Source organism: Homo sapiens, chromosome 18, assembly GCF_000001405.40.
Source record: "Homo sapiens chromosome 18, GRCh38.p14 Primary Assembly".
In the NCBI taxonomy this organism is placed as follows: domain Eukaryota; kingdom Metazoa; phylum Chordata; class Mammalia; order Primates; family Hominidae; genus Homo; species Homo sapiens.
In genome coordinates, this window is record NC_000018.10 from 69,997,484 (window position 1) to 70,022,674 (window position 25,191).

Here is a 25,191-nt window from a genome sequence, read left to right on the forward strand (position 1 = left end):
AGAAGAACAGGCATAGGATGAGCAAGCCAGAGAATCTGAAGAGGGCATGAGGGTAAAAGGTGAGTTGAGAACAACGTCCAGGCAAGTACACATATCCTCGGGAAAACTTTGTTCTAACAATAGGGAGCCAGGCAAAGGAGTAACCACGAAAACAAACAAAAGGCAGTTCAAAGTTTGAAGAAATCTCAAAAGGTCATAGAATGGCATAGCCTCTCTTACTTGGCCACCACAGAACAGATTTGCTCAGATTAAAGAATTCTCTCCATTCTCCCAACAAAACATCCTGGCTGATGCCAGAGCACATGAGCAGGGGAGGGACAAAGTGGGTGGGCATTAGTGCCACTCTCTCTGGCTTCCCTTAGGTGAGTTTCATGCTTACGGAGATTTGGCTGTGCTTGTTCCCACACCATTTACATCACTTAGACTTGTTATTGGAATTACAGAATTTGGTGAAATATTAATGACAAGTGATCAGAAAAATAATTGTTACTGTAAGAACTAAGTTGAATGTTTTGCAAATAATTGGTAACAAGGAGTCACTTAAAAATTGCTATTGAATCTGGTGTGGCAAGTCAACTACAAAATAAAGTAAAAAATGGTAGAAATCTGGAAGAATTCTTAAAGGAAAGAAAAAGATCTGGAAGAGGTTAGTTTGGGTTGCTTTAATATGTGCCTTAGTATTTGCTCCACTTTCAGAAACTGAAACTGGAAATTGTCCAAATGCATTAGGTGTGATTTATGATAAAAAAAAAACAGTATTAACACCAATAAGGGAACTATACTCTAAAAATGCCTCAGCCCTTAATCAAAAGTTTGTGGAATGAATATATATTTACATACATAAAATATATATATTTAGATACATATATATGTATGTAATATATATGTAGATACATATATGTAATATATATTTACATACATAAAATAAAATGTTAAAGGTACATATTTAAAATGTTGCAATTAATTTTATTTTTCAATTAGCCAGTTTTAAATTACTGTCTGTGAAAATGCTGGCAATCTGTTCACATCAACCATTCTATTTCCCAGCCTCATTTCTCCCTGAGGAGAAGGTGGATCCTGACAGCTGATGGCTGCATTTCATAGGCATAAACTCCACAGAAGGCATTTGGCTTTACACTGGAAAGGCATCTGACTTCTTTCTCTGACACTAATATTTTTAGCTCTGAATGCAGCTAGAACTAATCACAAAGTCTAAATGCAGACTGAATAAATTCAATAAGCATCTAATCTTATTTACTTGGGAAGATAATCCTTTTTTTTTTTTTACCCCTAATTACATCAGTTTTCTCTCAAATCAAGAACATTGGTGGACACTGGTGGTTGCTGAACCAAACACCACCTCCCCTTCTCTATTAGCAGTGGCCTGTGCTACTGGATCTGGCAATGTGCCCAAATGAGGGACAACAATTCTTGGCCTCTCTTGAAGCTTTGAGTGACCATGTGCTGTTCTGTCTGAGATGTGAGCTCTAGTTATTGGACCTGTCTTTTGGGAAGGCTCCTTAAAGGGAAACACAGCTGAGGAAGTCCTTTTCCAGCCTTTCTCCTTCCTGATGTCCATGAGGTAACTTCCTAAAGGAAACGTGCAAAGACAGAGAGAGCAGAAAAGCAGGCAGTTGAGTCCCTGAGGACACTGTTAGCTATAGACTGCCCATGTGTGCATTTCCTGGGATGCAAACAACAACAACAAAAAACAATAAAAATAAAAAGAAACTCCTCTCTTAGTGAAGCCATTATTATTTTGGAGTTTCTCCTCAGTGAAATGTGGCTATTCCTAGCAGATACAGAATATAACTTTAAACCAGGTATTATACCCATAAACTGATTCTTTGCAATCTGATCTTTATGAATATGACCAGAAAACAATTAAAAACAGTAAGTTCCCATTTTATAATCTGTTTACTTCCATGGTAAGCCAAAGAAAGAATGTTCCAATAAACTGTTTGAAGAAACAATGATTTCAGAATTTACACAGAACTGCAAGCAATCTGCTACCAGACTACCAAGTATCGCTGCCCAGAAGAACCCAAGTGGGTGCAGATACTCCAAAGGCACAAGCATTGGCAGAGGCCAAAGTGAGGTAAGGATGCCACTGAAAAGTAGAAATGTGTCAAAGAACATTACCTTGGAGTCTGTACTAAAACACTTTTTTTTTTTTTTAGCTTTCACGCAAAATTAGTTAAAAAGAAATTTATTGAATGTTACCATATGGGTATTTTGTAAAACATGGATTTAAAGATTTTTTTCTGAAGCAGATTCCTCCAATGTGGAAGGAGCAAACAAAATGCAAAAACGAACGTTGTTGGAAACATTTAAAGTAGGATCACACTGAGCTCCTTCTGTGTTGCTGCCAAACCTCAGACTCCCGGGGTCTTGGCATAGCCTTTCGTACATCTGAGCCTTGAGGCCCGGCGAAGTCCCACACAGCCCTAGGTGCGGGACTTGAGTTGTATAAGGAAACTTGAGTTGTAAAAGAATTTCCTAAGAGAAATTTTAAGTTAGGAAGAATAAACTCTACGTTCCCCAAAACTAAGTTTCCTAATTGACCAAAGCAATAGCATTTTATCATCCATGCCCCTTAGTCTTTGGATAATGATCAATGGGAAGAAAAAAAAAATAGCTACTCCCAAATTGAAGGATTTTTTTTTTAAGCTAAGATTTTGTTTTGGTTACTAAGGTTATAATTTTTTAATCTTCCATTTACACAAGTCAGATGGAAAAAGAGCAAAATTTTGCCAACTGACACTCAATCAAGACAACATGACAAGCAGAACAAAATGTGCACACCCCAGGTGTATATAATGCCTGTATGCAGTGCTTTGTGAGACTCGGGTTCTCAATGGTGCCTTGCCAAGTGTCTGGGCAATCAGTCATCCCAGGACTGTGGACATGCACTCCACCAAGAACCAACAATCCTTTTGGGATGCTGGAACCTTAGTTGTCACAGCCCAACTCACTTTCCAGCACATCCCCTCCCAGAGGGGAGGAAAGTTTGCAAGGACACAAAAGATTTGAAGTTTTTGCTTAAACAGATGTTTTTGAGAATTTTGTAAGAATAAAAAATCACTGATAACATCTAAGGGATAACTATGTACCAGGCTAAGCACTCAGTCCTCTCACCAACTGCACAAGGTAGGTGTCCTCAACCCCAGTTAGCTTGAGCCTGTCCCAGGTTTCCAACAATTGCAGTGGTGAGGCCAGGGTTAATTCCTGGTCCACAGGACTCAAGAGCCCTCTACTCTTAACCGCTCTATTATGCTCTCTCATTCACTGAGATAACTGCAAGCAGATCTTAATGCAGAAGCGGGGATGCCAGTCATTACTCTTACCCATCACTCTGGCAAATCCGAGGAACATCACGGGTCAAGAAGCAGACCTGGGGCTCTGGCAACCTCAAGAAATGGGGAATACACAAGGTGCAGCCCCAAAGACTGATGATGCAAAATGACACGGATGAAGAGTCCATTTAACACTACAAAGGAAAATTGGTGATCTGGAGTTAAATAGGCAAAATTCTGTTTTGTTTTTTTTTTTTTTTTGCTCCATTATTTATAGAACACCAAAAAAAGAGGTACATTCAGCTATTCATTTCTGTAAGTGTTTTTAGGAAGAGTGGCAAAAGGGTCTAGCCAGGTCTGCTAACACCACTTTCCTACTAGCTTCCTGTTTTCAAAACTAATGGCTGCCTCCTCCCTCAAACTGCTCAAGTCTTAAGCCCAGAAGCCTCAGTATCAATGTCTGCACTTCATGTGTGACGTGGCACTACCTTTTTGTGCTTCCATAGCGCACATACACTAACTCAGCCCACCAAAAATGCTAGGATATGGAGAAATTGGACACCATGAAGTATGAACTAGTCCCCTGCACCTATTTCCTGGATCCTTGCTTAAACTTGGGCAGGTGTGAAAGAAAAAATACTTGGTTCACATTCAAGAGACCCAGATTCAAGTCCTGATTTCATCAGGCAGCAGTTAAGTGATATGAAATAATTTTCGTGTTCTAGGCAGTTTTCTGTAATCATGGGGATTAATCAGTGGTTCTCAAACTGTGGTGAGCAGAACCTGGAGAGCTTGCTAAAAATTCTCCTAGACACAAGTCTGCCTCATTGAGCCCAGGAATCTGCATTTCAGTGCACACACCTGAGGATTCTGATGCTGGTCCGCAAGGGAGAGGCAGGGCAGCTGCTACAGCAGTGGGCCAGTCACCTCAAGGCTCCTGCTGAGACGTCTTCCCCACTGGCTGACGGTGCATAATCCCAGGAGACCCAGTTGCAAGGACTGTCCCCCAGGATCTGGACCACAGCGTGCACCCGAGCTTCACATTCCTGGACACCAAGAGAGGCAAACGCAAGTTCCCCTAAAGCCATGGCCCCTCTCCTTTCTCCAAGGTCTGCAGTCCTCCTGGGCTTTGGCAGGTAACATTTCTGGGTGGTTCTGACTACTAGGCTACAAATCTCCCTCTGGTACTACTGTGAACTGCTAGGGAAAATGATCAGTTACAACAATTCTTCCTGGTTCCAAGAAGATGAGGTAGTGCCTACTCTGATATGTGAATCAGTCAATCAATGAACCATAATATAATTTCCCTGAAGAGAACAAATTTTTGTTGAAAAATGGTGTTTATCTATAAGATTCAAACACAAAAAGAGATATTTCAGTGGGGGTGGTAGAGGGGCAGAATAAATGGTTTATAAAGAAAAGTGGTTTATAAAGAAAAGCAAACTTCTTCGCAGTTATCCTGGGTTCCAACCTCCACTTCACTGATAACCAGCCACAGTCAATGAGCACATTACTTAACCGCTCTGCGCCTCCGCTTATTCACCTGGAACACAAAGACATTAGTAGTATTTTAGAAAAAGATAGATTAAATGATAAAAGTTCCGAGAATAATAGCTGGGACATAGAAGGAGGAGTTATAAAGGAGTTATGAAGGGAGTTAGAAATTCATTTCATTTATTTATCAGTGAGGGCTGATTAGAGAATTCCAGAAAAATGGCAAAAAATATAAGATATCGGGAGAAAAGGGAAAAATAATTCCCAAGATTCCTGCTCTCAGAATTGACGAGTTTTCCGCTACACATTAACTTGGGCAGCTCAGAAACTTCTGAGCTTCCTAGATTTATTTTTCAGATCTCGAATCAATTAATTCTCAGACATTACAAACTTAACTGTTACTATTTCTGTATTTAACATAAATTTTGTCATACTTCCAGCTTAAATAACATCATTGCTTATTTTATTGCTGTTAGCAATTTAACAGCACTTAAAATGATATTTTTCTTTCAGTTTTTCTGAAAACATTATCCTAAATGAATATATATGTATACATGTATATGACATATATGTATATACAAACATATATATATTAATACTTCACCTTTTATTTCTCTTACACACAATTTTCTCACTTTCAAAAGTGTTGGGAAAGTTGCTGAAAGTGATTAGTACTTGATTTTGGTTTAAGTGCGGAATTCAAAACTACAGGTTAAGTAAGATTATGTAATAGAGTATAGAGCTTGTTCCTCCTGCATTTTTTTTTTTTTTTTTTTTTTTTGAGACAGAGTCTTGCTTTGTCACCCACGCTGGAATGCAGTGGCATGATCTCAGCTCACTGCAACCTCCCTGCCTCCCAGGTTGAAGAGATTCTCGTGCCTCAGCCACTGGAGTAGCTGAGATTATAGACGCTCAAGACCAGGAATGGCTAATTTTTGTATTTTTAGGAGAGATGGGATTTCACCAAGTTGCCCAAGCTGGTCTCAAACTCCTGGCCTCAAGTGATCCACCTACCTCGGTCTCCCAAAGAGCTGAAAGTATAAGCATGAGCCACCAAGCCCGGCCATCTTCTGCATTTTTCAGTCTTACTCTATTCTTCATGATGTTTTGGGCTGAGCTAAATTTGAACCCAGGCTTATACAGCCCCAACTCTATTTCTTTCTTCTTTATTACACAGCCTTGCAGAAGACAACGGTGAAGATTATACATGTAATGATTTAAGAGTCATCTAGGAAGAAGATAACATCACTAAAACTTGCCTAAGAAAGCTACTTACAAATCATGTACATTTACTTCCACACAGCCCTTTACAAATAATGCACACTTACTTCTACATAGCCCTTTTCCAGTGTGGATGCTCTGGATAACAGAAAGTTTTGAAAATAAGGATTTGCACTGACAGAGCCAAATTTTACATCAGTTAAAATTTAAAAAAAGAGAGAAACAACCAGGACACAGTGTCTTATTTCAACTCCTAAAATTAATATTCATGAGACTGATAAAAGTCTGTAAGCAGCAATTATTAGTCAATTTTTAGTTTCTAAAAATATTGTTTTATTAAATAACTGTTAAATAGGATTTTTACAAAATAAATGGCATAGAAAAGGGTAAAAATGTTTATGTTCCCAGAACTTTCTATGCCTTTTCAACAGAAAGGAAAAGGCACAGAAAGTTGTCAGCTGCTATTACTTCTGGAGAGCTGCCACAACTGGACGGTGTTGGAGTATCACCAGTTCTCTCTCTCATGGGAAAGAAGGGGATCAACACTTTGTAGAGAGGTAGCACGTCTTCAGGTAACAGCTGCTACACACAGCTGGCTTCAACTTTAGCTCCCCTGTTGATGACTGTCAGCTTCAAGGTGTAGCATCCCATGGCACTCAGGAAGAATTAAGGAGCTGCACGAGGTTTTCAAGACATTTCAAATAATAGGCATTTAGAGGGTTTGCTTCTGAGTTTGGGAAAGCTGAGATAGAAAAATAAGAGTACAGAAATACTAGTTTATGAAACTTGGTACTATACTTAGGAGGCACACACATAAACAAATACATATGAACAGGATTTATATATAATTTAAAGCTCTAAGTTCTTGATGTAATAGCATTCCAGAATATTTTGCATTTTTTAAAAAATAAACAAGTTACAAAATCAATATTTTTTTAAATTAACAGCTTACCCAGAGTATTTTTTAAAAAGTACCCCCCATAATGGATACCATTAACTATAATTCCAAATGAATGCCATTAATCTTTTTTTATGTACCATCCTTCCTAAAGCATAATCTTTAACTTCACTAGCTCCAGAAATTCATGGTCGCAGCTAAAACAAACTAAAACCTCCCCTGCTTAAAAAAAAAAATCAGACTATAAAAACACAAATAACCAACAGATATATTACAGTACAGGAAAGACACAATTCAGTGTTTTAGCATAAAAAATGTTCAGAGAATAACGCTCACTGAAATTTGGTGTCACTAAAAATGAATAATGTGCTTTGAAAAGAAAACCGTCTCTAGTATTGTGACCACATCACAGGGAAACGTGGATATAAGGGTAACAGGATCAATTCTTGGAAGACTGTCCTCCAGCTCCCTGATGTTAGATCCAGGTTTTCTGCTCACAGTTAATTCTAATTGGGCCAGTTCTTATCACTAAGAACATACTTCAGCACAGTGGTCACTGTTGGCAAAGAAAATTTAGTACAAAAATAAGACGAAGATCACAGATGCATTTTTAGAAGCAATCACATCTTAAACCTTCATCTATCTATTTTATTATTTTAAAAAATGATATAATTAAAGCACATACTGAATATTGGCACATTTTACAATGCCATTTTGCTGTGGCCTGTCCAAATATCTCATTAATCAGAAAATCCACTTAATAGCTTCTGAGTTTAACTATAATCTCTTTCTTATTGCAACTTACTTTTCTTTGCTAAGGAGTATGCTTCATCCACTCTTCTTTTTACTGATGGGCTTTTCAAAGCTGTTTTTGCCTAGAACAATCCATTAATTAGGTTTCTTGCCATGTGTTATGGATCATGATAGCAAAACACTAATTCTGCCCATTGCTAACTACAGTATTAAACAGAATATTATGAAATATAATAATATAACTAGAGAGTTCCATCTTAGCATAATACATCCTATTGAGCCAATCCCCTTGCACATTCTGAAGTCTTGCCCATATCCTCTTATCTAACTTGATTCTTTCTCTATTCCCATTTTCTTTCTTCCCTTCTCTTTTACTCCTTCTCCCCTAATCTCAATTTGCTATTTTAAACTAGTCATCCTTGGTTTCAGTTTTTCATACTCCCTCAAACCTCAGATTTCTGATCACATATACCAAATATTAGCAGTTGGTCAACAAATATTTACAGAGTGACTACAAAGTGCCAAATCCTGTGCTAAGCTCTGGGGATACCCAGGTGAGAAAGAAAACAACACCCTCTTGTCCTTGTGTACGTGACTCTGGCCAGCAGGGAGAAAACTAGCCCCGGCAGAGACAGTCAGCTGAGAGAACACCATTCTAGGATGGCTGTCTATCCTAACACTGTCACTTGGCTACTACTTAATCACTAGATACTTATGGGTATTTCTCTTGGGAACAACATGTCTGCAATAAAGTGGAAGTCCAAAGGCCAGAGAAAGAGTAGAACACAAATCTCCACGTTGCCTGCCCTTTTCTCAGAGCAGGCTTTGGGCTGCAGTCGTACAAGAACTGAGCTAGATAAAGGGGAATTGTACAATTGGATAAAACTTTTGTTACTCAGTTTTACTTTAAGATGTGTTTTCCCTTGATACGTCTTTTAGAAGAAACAATCTATACTAAAATTGCAATAATAAAGTAAATCAATTTAAATTAAGAGGAAAAAGTCAGTTCAGAGATTCTCTTCTAAACTGAGACATTCTGTTGAAATGATTAAATAAAAAGATTTCAACTGATGGTTTACTAATTGTATGAATCAGCAAAGGGAACATGGATCTTTGATTTTGTCTTTTTTCTTTTGCTGTAACTCTTGACACCTTTGGATGTATCCTAAGAGTTTATACCTGGGTTATACCTTGTTGTTTGCTCCCCAGGTGTAACAATGATTTTTAAAACTGACCTTCTGATAATTGTAAATCAGAGCCCAAAGGGCAGCTGCTCCAATCCTCTGAGCATTTTGATTCTCACTTTCCAGACAGGCAGCAAGCACAGTAATGACTTTTTCTAAAAATGAACATATATTTTTTAAAAGTTCAGTCCCAGACACTGCATTGTATTCTTATCTTGGACTAGTCAGACACCCCCCTCTTTTCCCATTAGAATGCATACATAAAGTTGGTATCACTAGACTATGGCAAAACCAATCTTTTATGCCATGTGGTATATGGGAGGACAACCTCAAAACATTGTTTTCATGTCAGGCATAGAAGGGTCAAAGACACTGAAGCTGCTTCATTTTTTGGCCAGAATTCAAGAAAAGGCACATTCATTTAAAGACCACAAGTGTGTAAAAATAAGTATACAATTAGGTACATTAATGAGTTACTCAATTACAGCTAACATTCTGGCAGGCAGAAAAACAGATCTGCTTTCATGATAAATTATAAAGACTATCATACAAACACATCAGTAGCATGAGCTACTATACAAAAACGATCATCAAATATCACACTGCTTGATGTTTTTTAAAAATGACTAGGGTGGCTGGCAAGATGGCTCAATAGGAAGCTCCGGTCTGCAGCTTCCAGTGAGATCAATGCAGAAGGCGGGTGATTTCTGCATTTCCAACTGAGGTACCCAGCTCATCTCACTGGAGCTGGTTAGACAACGGGTGCAGCCCATGGAGGGCGAGCCAAAGCAGGGTGGGGTGTCGCCTCACCCAGGAATCACAAGGGGTGGGGGAGCTCCCTCCCTTAGCCAAGGGAAGCTCTGAGAAACTGTGCCCTGAGGAACGGTGCATTCCGGCCCAGATACTACGCTTTTCCCATGGTCTTTGCAACCCACAGACCAGGAGATTCCCTTGGGTGCCTACACCACCAGGGCCCAGGGTTTCAAGCACAAAGCTGGGCAGCCATTTGGGCAGTCACCGAGCCAGCTGCAGGAGATTTTTCATACCTCAGTAGTGCCTGGAATGCCAGTGAGACAGAGTTGTTCAGTCCCCTGGAAAGGGGGCTGAAGCCAGGGTGCCAAGTGGCCTAGCTCAACAGATCCCATACCCATGGAGCCCAGCAAACTAAGATCCACTGGCTTAAAATTCTCACTGCCTGCACAGCAGTCTGAAGTCGACCTGGGATGCTCGAGCTTGGTGGGGAGAGGGGTGTCCACCATTAATGAGGCTTAAGTAGCCTGTTTCCCTTCACAGTGCAAACGAAGGCACTGGGAAGTTCAAACTGGGCAGAGCCCACCACAGCTCAGCAAAGACGTTGTACCCAAACTGCCTCTCTAGATTCCTCCTCTCTGGGCAGGCCATCTCTGAAAGAAAGGCAGCAGGCCCAGTCAGGGGCTTATAGATAAAACTCCCATCTCCCTGGGACAGAGCACCTGGGGGAAAGGGCGGCTGTGGGTGCAGCTTCAGCAGACTTAAATGTTCCTGCCTGCTGTCTCTGAAGAGAGCAGTGGACCTCCCAGCACAGTGCTCGAGCTCTGCTAACGGACAGACTGCCTCCTCAAGTGGGTCCCTGACGCTCGTGCCTCCTGACTGGGAGACACCTCCCAACAGGTGTTGACAGACACATCATACAGGAGAGCTCTAGCTGGCATCTGGGGGGTGCCCTCTGGGATGAAGCTTCCAGAGGAAGGAGCAGGCAGCAATCTTTGCTCTTCTGTAGCCTCTGCTGGTGATACCCAGGCAAACAGGGGCAGGAGTGGACCTCCAGCCAACTCCCAAAGACCTGCAGCAGAGAGGCCCGTTAGGAAGAAAACTAACAAACAGAAAGGAATAGCATCAACATCAACCAAAAGGACATCCACACAAAAACCCCATCCAATGGTCACCAACATCAAAAACCAAAGGTAGATAAATCCACGAAAATGAGGAAAACCCAGTGCAAAAAGGATGAAAATTCCCAAAACCAGAATAACTCTTCTCTTCCAAAGGATCACAACTCCTCACCAGCAAGGGAACAAAATTGGATGGAGAATGAGTTTGACGAAGTGACAGAAGCAGGCTTCAGAAGGTGGGTAATAACAAACTCCTCCAAGCTAAAGAAGCATGTTCTAACCCAATGCAAGGAAGCTAAGAACCTTGATAAAAGGTTACAGGAAATGCTAACTAGAATAACCAGTTTAAAGAAGAACATAAATGACCTGATGGGAGCTGAAAAACATAGCATGAGAACTTCGTGAAGCATACACAAGTATCAATAGCGAAATCGATCAAGCAGAAGAAAGGATGTCAGAGATTGAAGATCAACTTAACGAAATAAAGCGTGAAGACAAGATTAGAGAAAAAAAAAAAAGAAAAGGAATGAACAAAGCATCCAAGAAATATGGGACTGTGTGAAAAGAAGCAACCTATGTTTGACTGGTGTACCTGAGAGTGATGGGGAAAAATGGAACCAAGTTGGAAAATACTCTTCAGGATATTAAATGCAAGAGAACTTCCCCAACCTAGCAAGACAGGCCAACATTCAAATTCAGGAAATACAGAGAACACCACAAAGATACTCCTCGAGAAGAGCAACCCCAAGACACATAATCATCAGATTCACCAAGGTTGAAATGAAGGAAAAAATGTTAAGGGCAGCCAGAGAGAAAGGTCGGGTTACCCACCAAGGGAAGCCCATCAGGCTAACAGCAGATCTCTCTGCAGAAATCCTATAAGCCAAAAGAGACTGGGGGCCAATATTCAACATTCTTAAAGAATTTATCTTTTCTTTTTTTGTTGGGGAGGGGGATGCAGTCTTGCTCTGTCTCCCAGGTTTGGAGTGCAGTGGTGAGATCTCGGCTCACTGCAACCTCCGCCTACCAGGTTTAAGCAATTCTTCTGTCTCGGCCTCCTGAGTAGCTGGGACGACAGGTGGGCACCACCACACCTGGCTAATTTTTTTGTATTTTTATTAGAGACGGGGTTTTACCATATGGGCCAGGCTGGTCTCAGACTCTGGATCTCATGGTCCGCCCACCTTGGCCTCCCAAAAGGCTGGGATTACAGGTGAGAGCCACTGCGTATGGCCCAAGAAAATAATTTTCAACCCAGAAATTCATATCCAGCCATACTAAGCTTCATAAGTGAAAAATAAATAAAATCCTTTACAGAAAAGCAAATGCTGAGAGATTTTGTCACCAGCAGCCCTACCTTACAAGAGCTCCTGAAGGAAGCACTAAATATGGAAAGGAAAAACCTGTACCAGCCACTGCAAAAACATATCAAATTGTAAAGAACATTGACACTATGAAGAAACTGCATCAACTAATGGGCAAAACAACCAGCTAGCATCATAATGACAGGATCAAATTCACATGTAACAATATTAACCTTAAATGTAAACGGGCTAAATGCCACAATTAAAAGACACAGACTGGCAAATTGGATGAAGCGTCAAGACCCATCGGTGTGCTGTATTCAGGAGACCCATCTCGTGCAAAGACACACATAGGCTCAAAATAAAGGGATGGAGGAAGATTTACTAAGCAAATGGCAAGCAGGGGAGAAAAAAAAAGCAGAGGTGGCAATCTTAGCCTCTGATAAAAAAGACTTTAAACCAACAAAGATCAAAAAAGAAAAAGAAGGGCATTACATAATGATAAAGGGATCAATGCAACAAATAGAACTAACTATCCTAAATATATATGCACCCAATACAGGAGCACCCAGATTCATAAAGCAAGTTCTTAGAGACCTACAAAGAGACTTAGACTCGCACACAATAATCATGGGAGACTTCAACACCCCACTGTCAATATTAGACACATCAACAAGACAGAAAATTAACAAGGATATTCAGGACTTGAACTCAACTCTGAGCCAAGTGGACCTAACAGACATCTACAGAACACTCCACCCCAAATCAACAGAGTATACATTCTTCTCAGCACCACATCGCACTTATTCTAAAACTGACCACATACTTGGAAGTAAAACACTCCTCAGCAAATGCCAAAGACCTGAAATCATAACAAACAGTCTCTCACAGCACAATGCAATCAAATTAGAACTCAGGATTAAGAAACTCACTCAAAACCACACAACTACATGGAAACTGAACAACTTGCTCCTGAATGACTACTGAGTAAATAACACAATTAAGGCAGAAATAAATTAGTTCTTTGAAACCAAAGAGAGCAAAGACACAATATACCAGAATCTCTGGGACACAGCTAAAGCAGTGTTTAGAGGGAAATTTATAGCACAAAATGCTCACAGGTGAAAGGGGGAAAGATCTAAAATCAACACCCTAACATCACAATTAAAAGAACTAGAGAAGCAACAGCAAACAAATTCAAAAGCTTACAGAAGACAAGAAATAACTAAGATCAGAGCAGAACTGAAGGAGAGAGAGACACGAAAAACCCTTCAAAAAATCAATGAATCCCGGAGCTGGTTTTTGGAAAAGATTAACAAAATAGATAGACCACTAGCCTGACTAATAAAGAAGAAAAGAGAGAAGAATCAAATAGACACAATAAAAAATGATAAAGGGGAGATCAGCACTGATCCCACAGAAATCCAAACTACCATCAGAGAATATTATAAACACCTCTATGCAAATAAACTAGAAAATCTAGAAGAAATGGATGAATTCCTGGACACATACACCCTCCCAAGACTAAACTAGGAAGAAGTCGAATCCCTGAATAGATCAATAACAAGTTCTGAAATTGAGGCAGTAATTAATAGCCTACCAACCAAAAAAAGCCCGGGACCAGATGAATTCACAGCCGAATTCTACCAGGCATACAAAGTGGAGCTGGTACCATTCCTTCTGAAACTATTCCAATCAATAGAAAAAGAGGGAATCCTCTCTAACTCATTTTATGAGGCCAGCATCATCCTGATACAAAAACCTGGCAGAGACACACACAAAAAAAGGAAATTTCAGGCCAATATCCCCGATGAACATCGATGCAAAAATCCTCAATAAAATACTGGCAAACTGAATCCAGCAGCACGTCAAAAAGCTTATTCACCAAGATCAAGTCCGTTTCATCCCTGGGATGCAAGGCTGGTTCAACATACACAAATCAATAAAAGTAATCTATCACATAAACAGAGCCAACGACAAAAACCACATGATTATCTCAACAGATGCAGAAAGGCCTTCAAAAAAATTCAACACCCTTTCATGCTAAAAACTCTCAATAAACTAGGTATTGATGCAACATATCTCAAAATAATAAGAGCTATTTATGACAAACCCACAGCCAATATCACACTGAATGGGCAAAAGCTGGAAACATTCCCTTTGAAAACTGGCACAAGACAAGGATGCCATTTCTTACCACTCCTGTTCAACACAGTATTGGAACTTCTGGCCAGGGCAATCAGGCAAGATAAATAAATAAGGGTACTAAAATAGGAAAAGGTTCAAGGCAGGGTCTGTGAGTGTAGCATCTGCTCACTGGTACTGGTTAGAGGGCAGTGTCTGCTCACTGGTATTGGTTAGAGGGCAGCGTCTGCTCACTGGTGTTAGATAGAGGGTAGCGTCTGCTCCTGGTATTGGTTAGAAGGCAGCGTCTGCTCACTGGTATTGGTTACAGGGCAGCGTCTGCTCACTGGTATTGGTTAGAGGGCAGCGTCTGCTCACTGGTATTGGTTACAGGGCAGCGTCTGCTCACTGGTATTGGTTACAGGGCAGCGTCTGCTCACTGGTATTGGTTACAGGGCAGCATCTGCTCACTGGTATTGGTTACAGGGCAGCGTCTGCTCACTGGTGTTAGACAGAGGGCAGCGTCTGCTCACTGGTATTGGTTAGAGGGCAGGGTCTGCTCACTGGTATTGGTTAGAGGGCAGCATCTGCTCACTGGTATTAGTTACAGCACAGTGTCTGTTCACTGGTACTGGTTAGAGGGCAGCATCTGCTCACTGGTATTAGTTACAGGGCAGCGTCTGCTCACTGGTACTGGTTAGAAGGCAGTGTCTGCTCACTGGTATTGGTTAGAGGGCAGCGTCTGCTCACTGGTGTTAGATAGAGGGCAGCGTCTGCTCCTGGTATTGGTTAGAGGGCAGCGTCTGCTCACTGGTATTGGTTACAGGGCAGCATCTGCTCACTGGTATTGGTTACAGGGCAGTGTCTGCTCACTGGTATTGGTTACAGGGCAGCGTCTGCTCACTGGTGTTAGATAGAGGGCAGCGTCTGCTCACTGGTATTGGTTAGAGGGCAGCGTCTGCTCACTGGTATTGGTTAGAGGGCAGCATCTGCTCACTGGTATTAGTTACAGCACAGTGTCTGCTCACTGGTACTGGTTAGAGGGCAGCGTCTGCTCACTGGTATTAGTTACAGGGCAGCGTCTGCTCACTGGTACTGGTTAGAAGGCAGTGTCTGCTCACTGGTATTAGTTACAGGGCAACGTCTGCTCACTGGTATTAGTTAGATGGCAGTGTCTACTCACTGGTATTAGACCAACCACAATGCTAGTGTATTTTAGGAGCTCAATAAATATTCGTTGTGTGAAAGATTCCAGAATAGAATAAACAAAAATTTTGTCTACATAATTCAATTTTTTTATTTTAAGGGATTTTAAATATTTAACAAAAACAAAACAAAAAAAGCTGCTCCCTAAAGTGAACTGGAAATGTGCATCAGGACAATGTGAAAGGCAGGTGCAGTGATGTTTCGGGCACGCTGCAGCCGACTCCCTGAACACCTCATCTGCACTATCTGATGCCCTTTGGTTGTCGTGTATCATAACCTACCCAGAACCAAGCCATGTACATAGCTTGCAGATGCAATTTATCACGTGAGGTTATGGCTGCAAGTGCTACTCATTAGGGCACATCAAATGTCCCCTTATTAAATGGGAGGGTGACTTCCTTATGTTCCATCTGAGTAGCATCAAGTGATGTTTTTAAATGTTGTCTCAAACACTCAGAATATATAACTCCTCTGATCTAAGTAAGTTTATAACTCCTTCAACCAGCTATCCCTTAAAGCATTTTTAATAAAGTACTGTGTGTGTATGTATATATACATATGTGTGTGTGTGTGTGTGTCTGTGTGTGTGTGTGTGTGTGTGAATTAATGTGGTGGGCCCCTCTGATAATGCAAGTGGATCGACTTTTTTAACAAAACAAATGTTATTGTGAAACATGCATATAACAAAGCAATAAAACAATTTTGAGTTCAACAAGTAGGTCTGAACTCTCATATAAACATTTAAATAACCTAAAGTGAATATACAGTAGTAAAATGTAAATAATGAGACAGTATTTTTGAATATTTGAACTGAATATTACCTTAATATAATAATTGAATGTTACCTTAATATAATAATTGAATATTACCTTCTTAATACAATTGGTTTAAGTATAAGTTTAGGGATGTCAGTTTGGTAATTACAGTGAGTTGTCAGTTATGGTGACATTAATGTCTTAGAAAAGTTCTTAAAGTTTTTACCCATCATTTCTTCAAATATTTCCTCTCCCATTCTCCTAGGACACTTCATTAAACACAAAGACTGTCTTGATATATCTGCTGTGTCACTTACCTTTGATTCTTTTGATCCTTTCTCATCTTTTTAGCTTTCTCTGCTGCATTCTGGATAATATTTTTCTAATCTATCTTCTAATTCCTAAGTTCTCTGCTATACCTAACTTGCTGTCAGACATGTATATTAAGTTTTCAATTTTGGCCACTGAAGTTCTAGATTACTGTTGTAAAACAGAACTTCCTACAATAATGGAAATATTTATATCTTGCTATTTAATAAGATAGCCACTAGCCACATGTAGTGAGTACAACTGAATAATTTTAATTAGTTTAAATTTAAATAGCTACATGTGGCTGATTATCATACTGCACAGTAAAGTTCTTGAAGTTCTGTTTGGTTCTTTTCAAATATTTCAACTTGTCAGTTTCCCATTTCCTAAAATTTTCAAGCTTGTCATTTATTTATCTAAATATGGTATAATTAAAGTTATTTTTAAACCCATGCTTTGTAATTCCCATATTCAAAGTCTGGGCAGATAAGCTGGTATTTTTATTCTTCTGCTGTTTCTTACTACATGTTGCCATGTCTCCTAATGTGCTTGATTATCTCTAACTTTGTACTGGTTAATGCTTTTGAAAAATTATTTGTAGAGGTTCCCTGAGGCCCAGTATGAACTTGTCTTTCATCCATCACCAAGGCAGTTTGCTTTCTGCTAAGTACCCACAGGCACCATCAATCGAAGACACCTCAAGCCAAGTTCACGGCCAACTTTGGGTGCAGAGCCCTATCAGAAGCAGTCTGTAGTACCCATTCTCACATTTTTTTTTTCCTTTTCTTTACAGTCTCCTTCATGAAGTTTGGGAAACCAACTTATTTTTGACCCATCCATCTATTAAGAGAATGGTTCTTTGGAGGTCCAGCTTAATACAAGCAGGATAGCCAGTAAGAATCCCCACTTTGGGGAATCGCGGCTTCTGTCCTCTCACCCCTCGATACTCCTCAACAAAAGCCAAGCATACAACCTTGGCAAATGCACTTGGGGCAAAATAATTTTCTATATACTTCTTACTTGTCTGGGCAAGACTTTCAATCAAAACTGGACTGGGAGTTTCTATCTTTTCAGTTTTTGTGATTATTTTGAGGTGCATTTTAATACAGCCTGTCTAGCATGTTATTGTCGTTTTCAGAAGAGACTTAGTCTGGCATTGCCAGAAACAAGGAATGTTCCAGATCTTTTTTTTTTTTTGGAGATGAAGTCTCACTCTGTTGCCCAGGCTGGAGTGCAGTGGCGCGATCTTGGCTCACTGCAACCTCCGTCTCCCCAGTTCAAGCAATTCTACTACTGGGGACTACAAGGTGCCCGCCACCATGCCTGGCTAATTTTTGTATTTTTAGTAGAGGCGGGGTTTCACCATGTTGGCCAGACTGATCTCAAACTCTTGACCTCAAATGATCCACCCACCACGGTCTCCCAAAGTACTGGGATTACAGTTGTGAGCCACCATGCCAAGCCCCAGATCTATTTTTACCAGCAAGGTCAAGCTCCACTGCACACTCCACTCCTGACCATTTAAACCAGATGTGTGGGTGCTACCGATCAGAGGCAGCCTTTCCTGGGAGACTTTTAAGCTGGCTGACTCTGCTAAGGCCTCCTCCATAAATCCCCAAGTGGAAAGCGAGGCATAGGCTGTGACATCCCTTTATAGTTCCACACAGAAACTGCACAGCTGATGTCTCTTATCTTACCCCTGCCTGAAAAGCCCACTGATCTCTAGTCTGTGGGCTAGGGGAAGCTTCTCACCAAAGTTTATCCATCTGCTTTAAGCTAATGAAGGAGAAAAAGCATTGCTGACTACAAAGAAATGCTAAAAATAATTCTAGAGGGGTCTAGAAGTGGAAAATGCAGACTTCTCTCCTTCACTTCTCAAAAAGCTTGACCTTTTTCCAACTCTCAATAATAAACTGGAGTAAGTAGCCCTCAAAGAAAAAAAAAATCATTCTAAGAAAGGTGAATAAACAATAACAGATGTTACTGAGTAGCTGCTATATACCAAGAATGGTCACAAACACTTCACAGGCTCTCTCATTGCCCTGAGGAGGGATTATCATCACCCTCATTTTACAAATGTGAGGGCTGAAGCAGCTACAGTGGGAGAGGATGGAAATAAAACCAGTGATGTACATCACGCAGCAACAGAGAACGCAGCATCAGCACAGCAGCCACCGGAAGGCAGAGTGCAAAATCCACAGTAAGGTTAGGTCTGCTACAAGCTAACTGAACTTTAAACATCCTTCTATATCATATCTAGCAGTTGATTATCAGAATGCTTATCAGAAAAATAGAATCACAACTATATACACCACAAAATATAAGAAGAATCATTTTCGTACACTTAGAAAACCCTTGATTTCACAGAAAAATGCTTCTGAGAAAAGTTTAAGTGAAAAACATGAAAAAAACAAGAGAATGAATCTATCTTAAACATTTATCATGTACCAGAAATAGCGCTAGGCACTTTATGTGTGTTTATAAACTGATTCTTACCAAACCAAGAAGAGTGGGCTTCTTTTATAGATGAAGAAGCTGGGCCCAGCGAGGCTGCACCAGGCGACGCTGGAGTGATGCCCTAGTGCTGGCATTCAAGACCAGGTGTGTAGGGGTCTGGAGCCCACCTTCTGTTTTTCACTAGAACACATGTCTTTTATAAAACTCACTCCCCACGAAATTCACATACTCCTCACAGAGATAACACATGGTTGCAGAAAAAGATCTTTCCGATTCTTTTTGCTTCAATTTTTTTCTGAATCCTTACCAATCCTCGCCTCCATCTGTCCTACATCTCAGAGAATGAAGTCTCTGCGAGGCTCACTGCACCATCTGATCTCAAGCCCTGAACTCTCTCCGGTCTGCTTGGGATCTCTCTCAATCATCAAATATTTATTGAGTGCTCGCTAGTTGCAGGCACAATTCTAGGTGCTACACATAAACAAAGCAGACAAAAGCCTCCTGACCCCATAAGAGCTTACCTTCTAGTGTGGGAAGACTAGGAATAGACAGATACATGAAACACATAATCTATCAGATGGCGATAATACTACGGAGGGAAACAAAACCAGGAAAGGAAATAGTGAGGAGGAGGAAAGAGAAGGCCCCCTGGGTGCGGGGCTATTATATTAACACATGGTTCCCGAGAGGCTTCATTGACATAGTAGCATTTGCTTGAAGATGCAGAAGAGGGGAGCTGGAGTTAGAGGAAGAGCAAGGAGAGAGGAGAGGGAGCAGAAGGTAAGGCCAGGGAGCCCTCGTCCACGGCTCCCCTTCCTCCAGGTGTCCAGTATGTGCACTGGAATGACATGATTTGCTAACCTCAGGAGACTCCTGGAAGCCCACGGAAGGCTGAAGCCATGCCTGATTCATTCCCATGCCTTCCACAGTGCTTTGAACACAGTGGGTGCTTAATAAATGCCTAGAAAATTATTTATAAAATTATTTGGTGTTGACCTGAACAGTCTATGAATAACTACATATATAAATGTATGTGTGTGTGAAAACTTACCATTAGCCAGGATCTTGGGTTTATTTGCAGGACTGAAGCAAACATTATGAAAGATAAGAAGAGGCAATAAAGGGCTGCTCTTGTGCTTGTATTTGCTCATCTCTGTTAGTAAGTCTAGACAGCCATCAAGCCTCAGAATCATTTGTTGCCCATCTTCTCCAGATGATATATTCAGGAGTAACTTCAACCAAAGAATAGTCAGATTACTTAGATGTTTATTTCCTCCTTTTGGCAATGCTAGAGAGAGGAAGTTCTGTAAGAAGTTACTCTGTGGATAAATAGAGAGAATATTATTTTCTTCTCATCTTTTTCATTATTTTCCTAGTCCCTTGGTGACCAATTAACTAACATTCTGATATACTCTCCCTCTACATTAATTTCTCCTTTCTAATAGCTTCTGAATATTCCATCTATATTATTTCCAAGCATAAGTGAAAAAGGTAAGAAGAACAAAATAGTGCTCAAGTTTTAATTCCTGCTAATTATTTCCTCATGATGGATGAAGTATACTATAGTTAACTCTTAATTATTTAGAATTGGTAATTAAGTTTGGAGATTATTTCAGGGCTCTTGAGTTTTCTCTTCTCTCTGCCTTCTGGTGATTTTGCTATTAAAAGCTACCCTATGGAAGGAAAAAAGGCAAAAATCCAAATCAGTCTTGAATACTAGTTAACAACTCTGGAAGTAGTGAGGGTATTTTGAATCATTATAGCTACAGGTGTTGTTGTTGTTTTTATCAAATCTATAGATACATCTTACATTCACTTTATCCCAGGTACTTATCATTACAAGTAAGAATTTCTGATGGCTACACGTCATTCTATTATGCTTACAGATGAGAAAGCTCTATTATTTGAACTGTAAGAGTCTTTTCAACCTCCAAATAAAGCCCCTTCCAAAAAACCCCACCAAACCCTTCACTATAAGAAAGATAATAAATTATTGCTTAGACTAATCTATATGCAAAGTATAAAAGTGCTGCATCAAGCTGCAGCCCATGGCAGCATGGAAACCACAGTTAGGTGGACATTTTAGAAATGAAATGCAATCACTTAACTTTTATGATTGCACAGAATAACTCTTCTCTCTCTCTGTTTAAATCTACTCCAGTTTATCTCTTAGGTTTTCCTAGACCAAAATCAAGATGTTGGCTTTAATCTATAAAATAAACTTAACGTTTTTATACAAAAGGACTCTGAGTGTTAAGAATGAAATGAGCTACAGAAATATTATCAACATTACCCACACAATAAGTAAACTGTAAAATTACATGCCCACTTTCAGCTGCATGTGCTGTCACTCACACCTACTGTCAGCCAAACTGACAGTTTTTAGATTCAACCCTTGCTGGATTTGGGACTGACAAGGGTGATAAAGCAGATGTCAGTGCTCTCAAATATAAATGTGCTGTGGGCACTCCTTTTTTTTTTTTTTTTTTTTTTTTTTGCTGCTTCTAAAGATGTTTTCAGACAATTTCCTACACCAGGTAGAATATGTAGAGATGTATACCATGGTAGAAAAAAAAACAAACAAGCAGGATATTTCGGAGCCTGAGTTGTACAATACCACCTGCTGCATTTTCTATGTCCTACAGATGAGTAATGAAGAAGTAGAAGTGTTAAGTGTCTGGGCTCATTATTACTTAATGCAGCAGAGGAAGTCTCAGGCATTTCCTAATTAGAGCAGAGGAAAAAGACTTGATTAATCCGTCCCTGGAAAGAGAGTCTGATCACACTTCATCAAAATATTCTTAAGTATAGCACCAGAATAACAGATTAAGAGTTGAACATATCTTAGAGATTATTTTGTTAAACCCAAATGAAGCTGAAAGAGAATAGGTCTCCAGCTCAAAGTCACAGACCAGACTCGAGATTGGCACTTACATTCCTTCTGGGTGCTCCCACTTAGCTTCCCACCAACATGCTCTATAAGGAAGTGGTGGAAAGCACTGCCCCCGCTCTGCTCTCACATATGCAGAATCTCTCATTCTTATGGATGCTAATCACATATATCCAGTTCAAGAGAATGTCTCATTTTGGAAGTGATGCATGTATATGAATACATATATGAAGAAAATATATTCAAATATATATACATATATGACATACATGAACATATACATGAAGAAAATATCCAGCCATGTGCTGGTAAATAAACAACTGATTGTGGTGAGGGTAGAAAAGATCCAAGATTTGTACAGTTCGCTGAATTACGTGGTGTGATATGCCCACTGTGGCTGATTTCAAAATAACAATGTAACATCAACTGGAATTTTTATAAAATTCCTGCAAATTTAAGATGACACTCATGAGTCAGTAGGAGGCTGGCTCCAACGTGCCACTGAAAACATCTTTCCTTGGTAAGATTGATCTTTCCATTTCCTTAGAAAGACCGAACTTTCTATTTATGTGGTGATAACAAAGTATCTTCTGAGGAGTTCAGGGAGAAGAAACAGTAGAGGAAAAGGAGACTCAATTCTTATAAATGCTCTCAACTTCTGCAATTTATCTTGGCCTTCAAGTAAAAGAAATGGAAACACTCAAATTACAATACTAGTAAGTAGTATATAATCTGATTACATTCAAATTTGAAGGGATTTTCCCAATTAGGGATTCTGTTTATACACATCTAAATACAGAATATAAGTGCACATGTGTACTAGAATTTATTTAACTCATTACATCCCTTTTAAATTACCTTAAGTTAAAATCAGTGATGAGAAGTCTAGATTGGGAACTGGAATCCTAGAGAACTCATAAAATTGCTTAACATGCCATAAGGAAGTTAAGTCTAACTGGGGGAAGTGGGCTGTGATTTCATAAACCATTTTGTCAATGAAATTAAACTGAAATTGTTACTGCCCAATTTGGTCTGTTTAAAGACCAATATATTACTTTTATTATTTCCAATAAATGTAAGACGGCTATCTTTCTAAAACCCTCATCTTTGAGAATGATAAAATACAATCCGAAAGCTAAGAAGATAAATGAGAAGGAAATGGTATGACTCTACTCTAGCTCCTGTCCTTCTGCACGTGTCATCTATCAACTGGCTTTAAACAAAGTGAACCTCTTAACCCTTTTATAATCCTTTAAAATAAAATGCCTCAAAATCATAATAATCTTAGAAATTGAGTTGTAAACTTTTGATTGGAAAGATTATTTCACTGAGTACCCTTTTAAGATATGTGGGGAGTTTAAGTGCGTACCTTCTGAATTACTCCTTTACAGTCATGCGACAAGGCCAGGTTTGAAAGAAGCATAAAAACCATCTGCTGAACCGTGGTGTTCTCCAGTGGCATCTGGGAAGCCAACTTTAGGATACACAGCATCAGAGAGTTGCTCACGGCTCCTCTATGTGTAGCTTGAACAGGGTGTTGTCCACAACTTGACCAACAAAGAGAACTGCAACCTTCAAAAATAACAGCCTATCACAATGTCTTCTCAGTTTCCCTGTTTAGTTTTTGAAGACACTAAGTGGCAAAGCATATCTGTCTAACAAAATGACTAGGCCATTAACCTGTGAACTGCAAATTAGCAATGGAGGCTAATGTTGGTGTCTACAGTCAACCTAATAGATATACTGTCCTCACTGAGGGCCTAATTATCTCACTAAAGCACTTTAAGACACCAGGTTTATTTTTAAAAAAAGAATAAAATAAACATACTAGGGTTTTTAATAGTTGCTAAAGAAAACATCTAAATAAAGGCCTGTGTAAAGGAACAGAATTTTAGAAATGGGAGATAACTTGTCTAATGCCTTCATTTTACATAACATACAAATAAGGAACATAATATCCCTGGGAAAGCGGACAAAACAAATACTATTTTCTATATTTGGTCAACAAAGATATGGAGCTCAGAAAAGCCAGTTTGTTGTTCAAGGTCATACAGCTTAGCATAGCAGGAGCCAAAAGTGGCATCTACAGGCTTTCCAGGGTTCAGTGTTTCTCAGGAAATTAAGTAACTGAATGAGACTTATTGAGGGAGAAAAAAAAATTAGAAATATATTTTAATGTTAAATCAATAAGACTGTATTATACATAAACCTAAGGTATAATTGACTTGTGAAAGTTCATACGAGGAGGCCAACTTAAGTATAAACTGATCAGAATCAAATACATTCTGTAAAAGAAACTCATAAAAGATGAGTAAACAAACAAAAGATATACTAGTGGAGCTGGAAAATGCACTGAAAGGAGACATTCCCACCAGACCTAAGGAATGGAGAAAGTTAACAGCACAGAATGAAGGCAAGGACAATCCTGTACACATATGCTTCAATGACAGTTCAAGTTCAAGAGCTTGAAGGTCTGTTTATATCTCTTTGTGCTGACTGGAGACAACCTGAGTTGGGTATCGAAATGGACAGCTCCAGAGGTGTCAGATTATTCAAAGGAATAAGCCATCATCAGCATCTGGCAGATTATTCAAAGGAATAAGCCATCAACAGCATCTGGCAGTAACTAGATGGGCTCCTTAACTGTTGTGAGTTCCAGTCCCTTCTCTGTATAACCTTTGATATTCAGAGACCCCAGTTGCTGGGCTACTGAGTGTTGTTAGAAGAAAGTACAAAAACTTGCTAGTCAAATCTTAAATTTATGACCATAAATTTAATAAAATTTAAATCTTAAATTTATGACCATAAATTATGACCATAAATTCTAATTTATTTTCTTAAATTTATGACCATAAGTGGTACTTAACACTGCCAGCAATCCTACTTTGCTTCTCTGGTGTGTTTACTTTCCTTCCTCTAAAAACAGCTACTTCACACTTTCTCCTCTTCTCACATCACCTCTACTCCTTGTCTTTGCTCATTCTTAGTGGTCAGTGTTCTCTCCTAAATGAAGAAAGCAGAAGTATTCAAAATGGGAATTTTCTCATCATTCCCATCAAGTCTACCAGCCCTCCTAAATCCACATCCTTCCTCTCAGCCTTCCCTCCGCTTCTGTTGTCAGCTGTGCTCTAGCTCTCACCTCTCTTACCCTCTCAGGCTGGGCTCTTACCTGCACTCTTTCCTGCACCTCATTCTCCCAATCCCTTAAGTTAATAAACATGCCTTAAAAACATACATCTTTAAAAACGAGCAAAAACTCCTCCTTTGACTCCACATCTGTCTCTTGCTGTTGCTCCATTTCTTTGTCCTCTTAAGAGTAGTACATTTTGGAAAAGCTGTCTCCTCTACTTCTTCATCTTCTCTCCTCAGCTCACACTAAGTAGGTTTCTGTTCTGGCACTGCACTAAAATTACCCTCAAGGTCCAAAAG

At 39.7% G+C, this 25,191-nt stretch overlaps 1 protein-coding gene across 13 annotated transcripts in view; it reads right to left on the reverse strand.

Annotated features, from left to right (window-relative positions):
* The window catches only part of RTTN (rotatin), a 202,657-nt gene continuing 183,013 nt past the window's right edge, over nt 5,548-25,191 (reverse strand). For 11 of the 13 annotated variants that reach the window (NM_001318520.2, XM_047437468.1, XM_017025693.2 and 8 more), the window contains 5 exons: nt 23,132-23,334; nt 19,924-20,191; nt 8,898-9,001; nt 7,715-7,784; nt 5,548-6,753 (listed from right to left, as the gene is read on the reverse strand). In NM_001318520.2, the coding sequence (NP_001305449.1) occupies nt 6,668-6,753; nt 7,715-7,784; nt 8,898-9,001; nt 19,924-20,191; nt 23,132-23,334 (731 nt within the window). In that variant the 3' untranslated portion in view covers nt 5,548-6,667. The other 2 variants (XM_006722435.4, XM_011525904.4) reach the window with 2 other exon arrangements.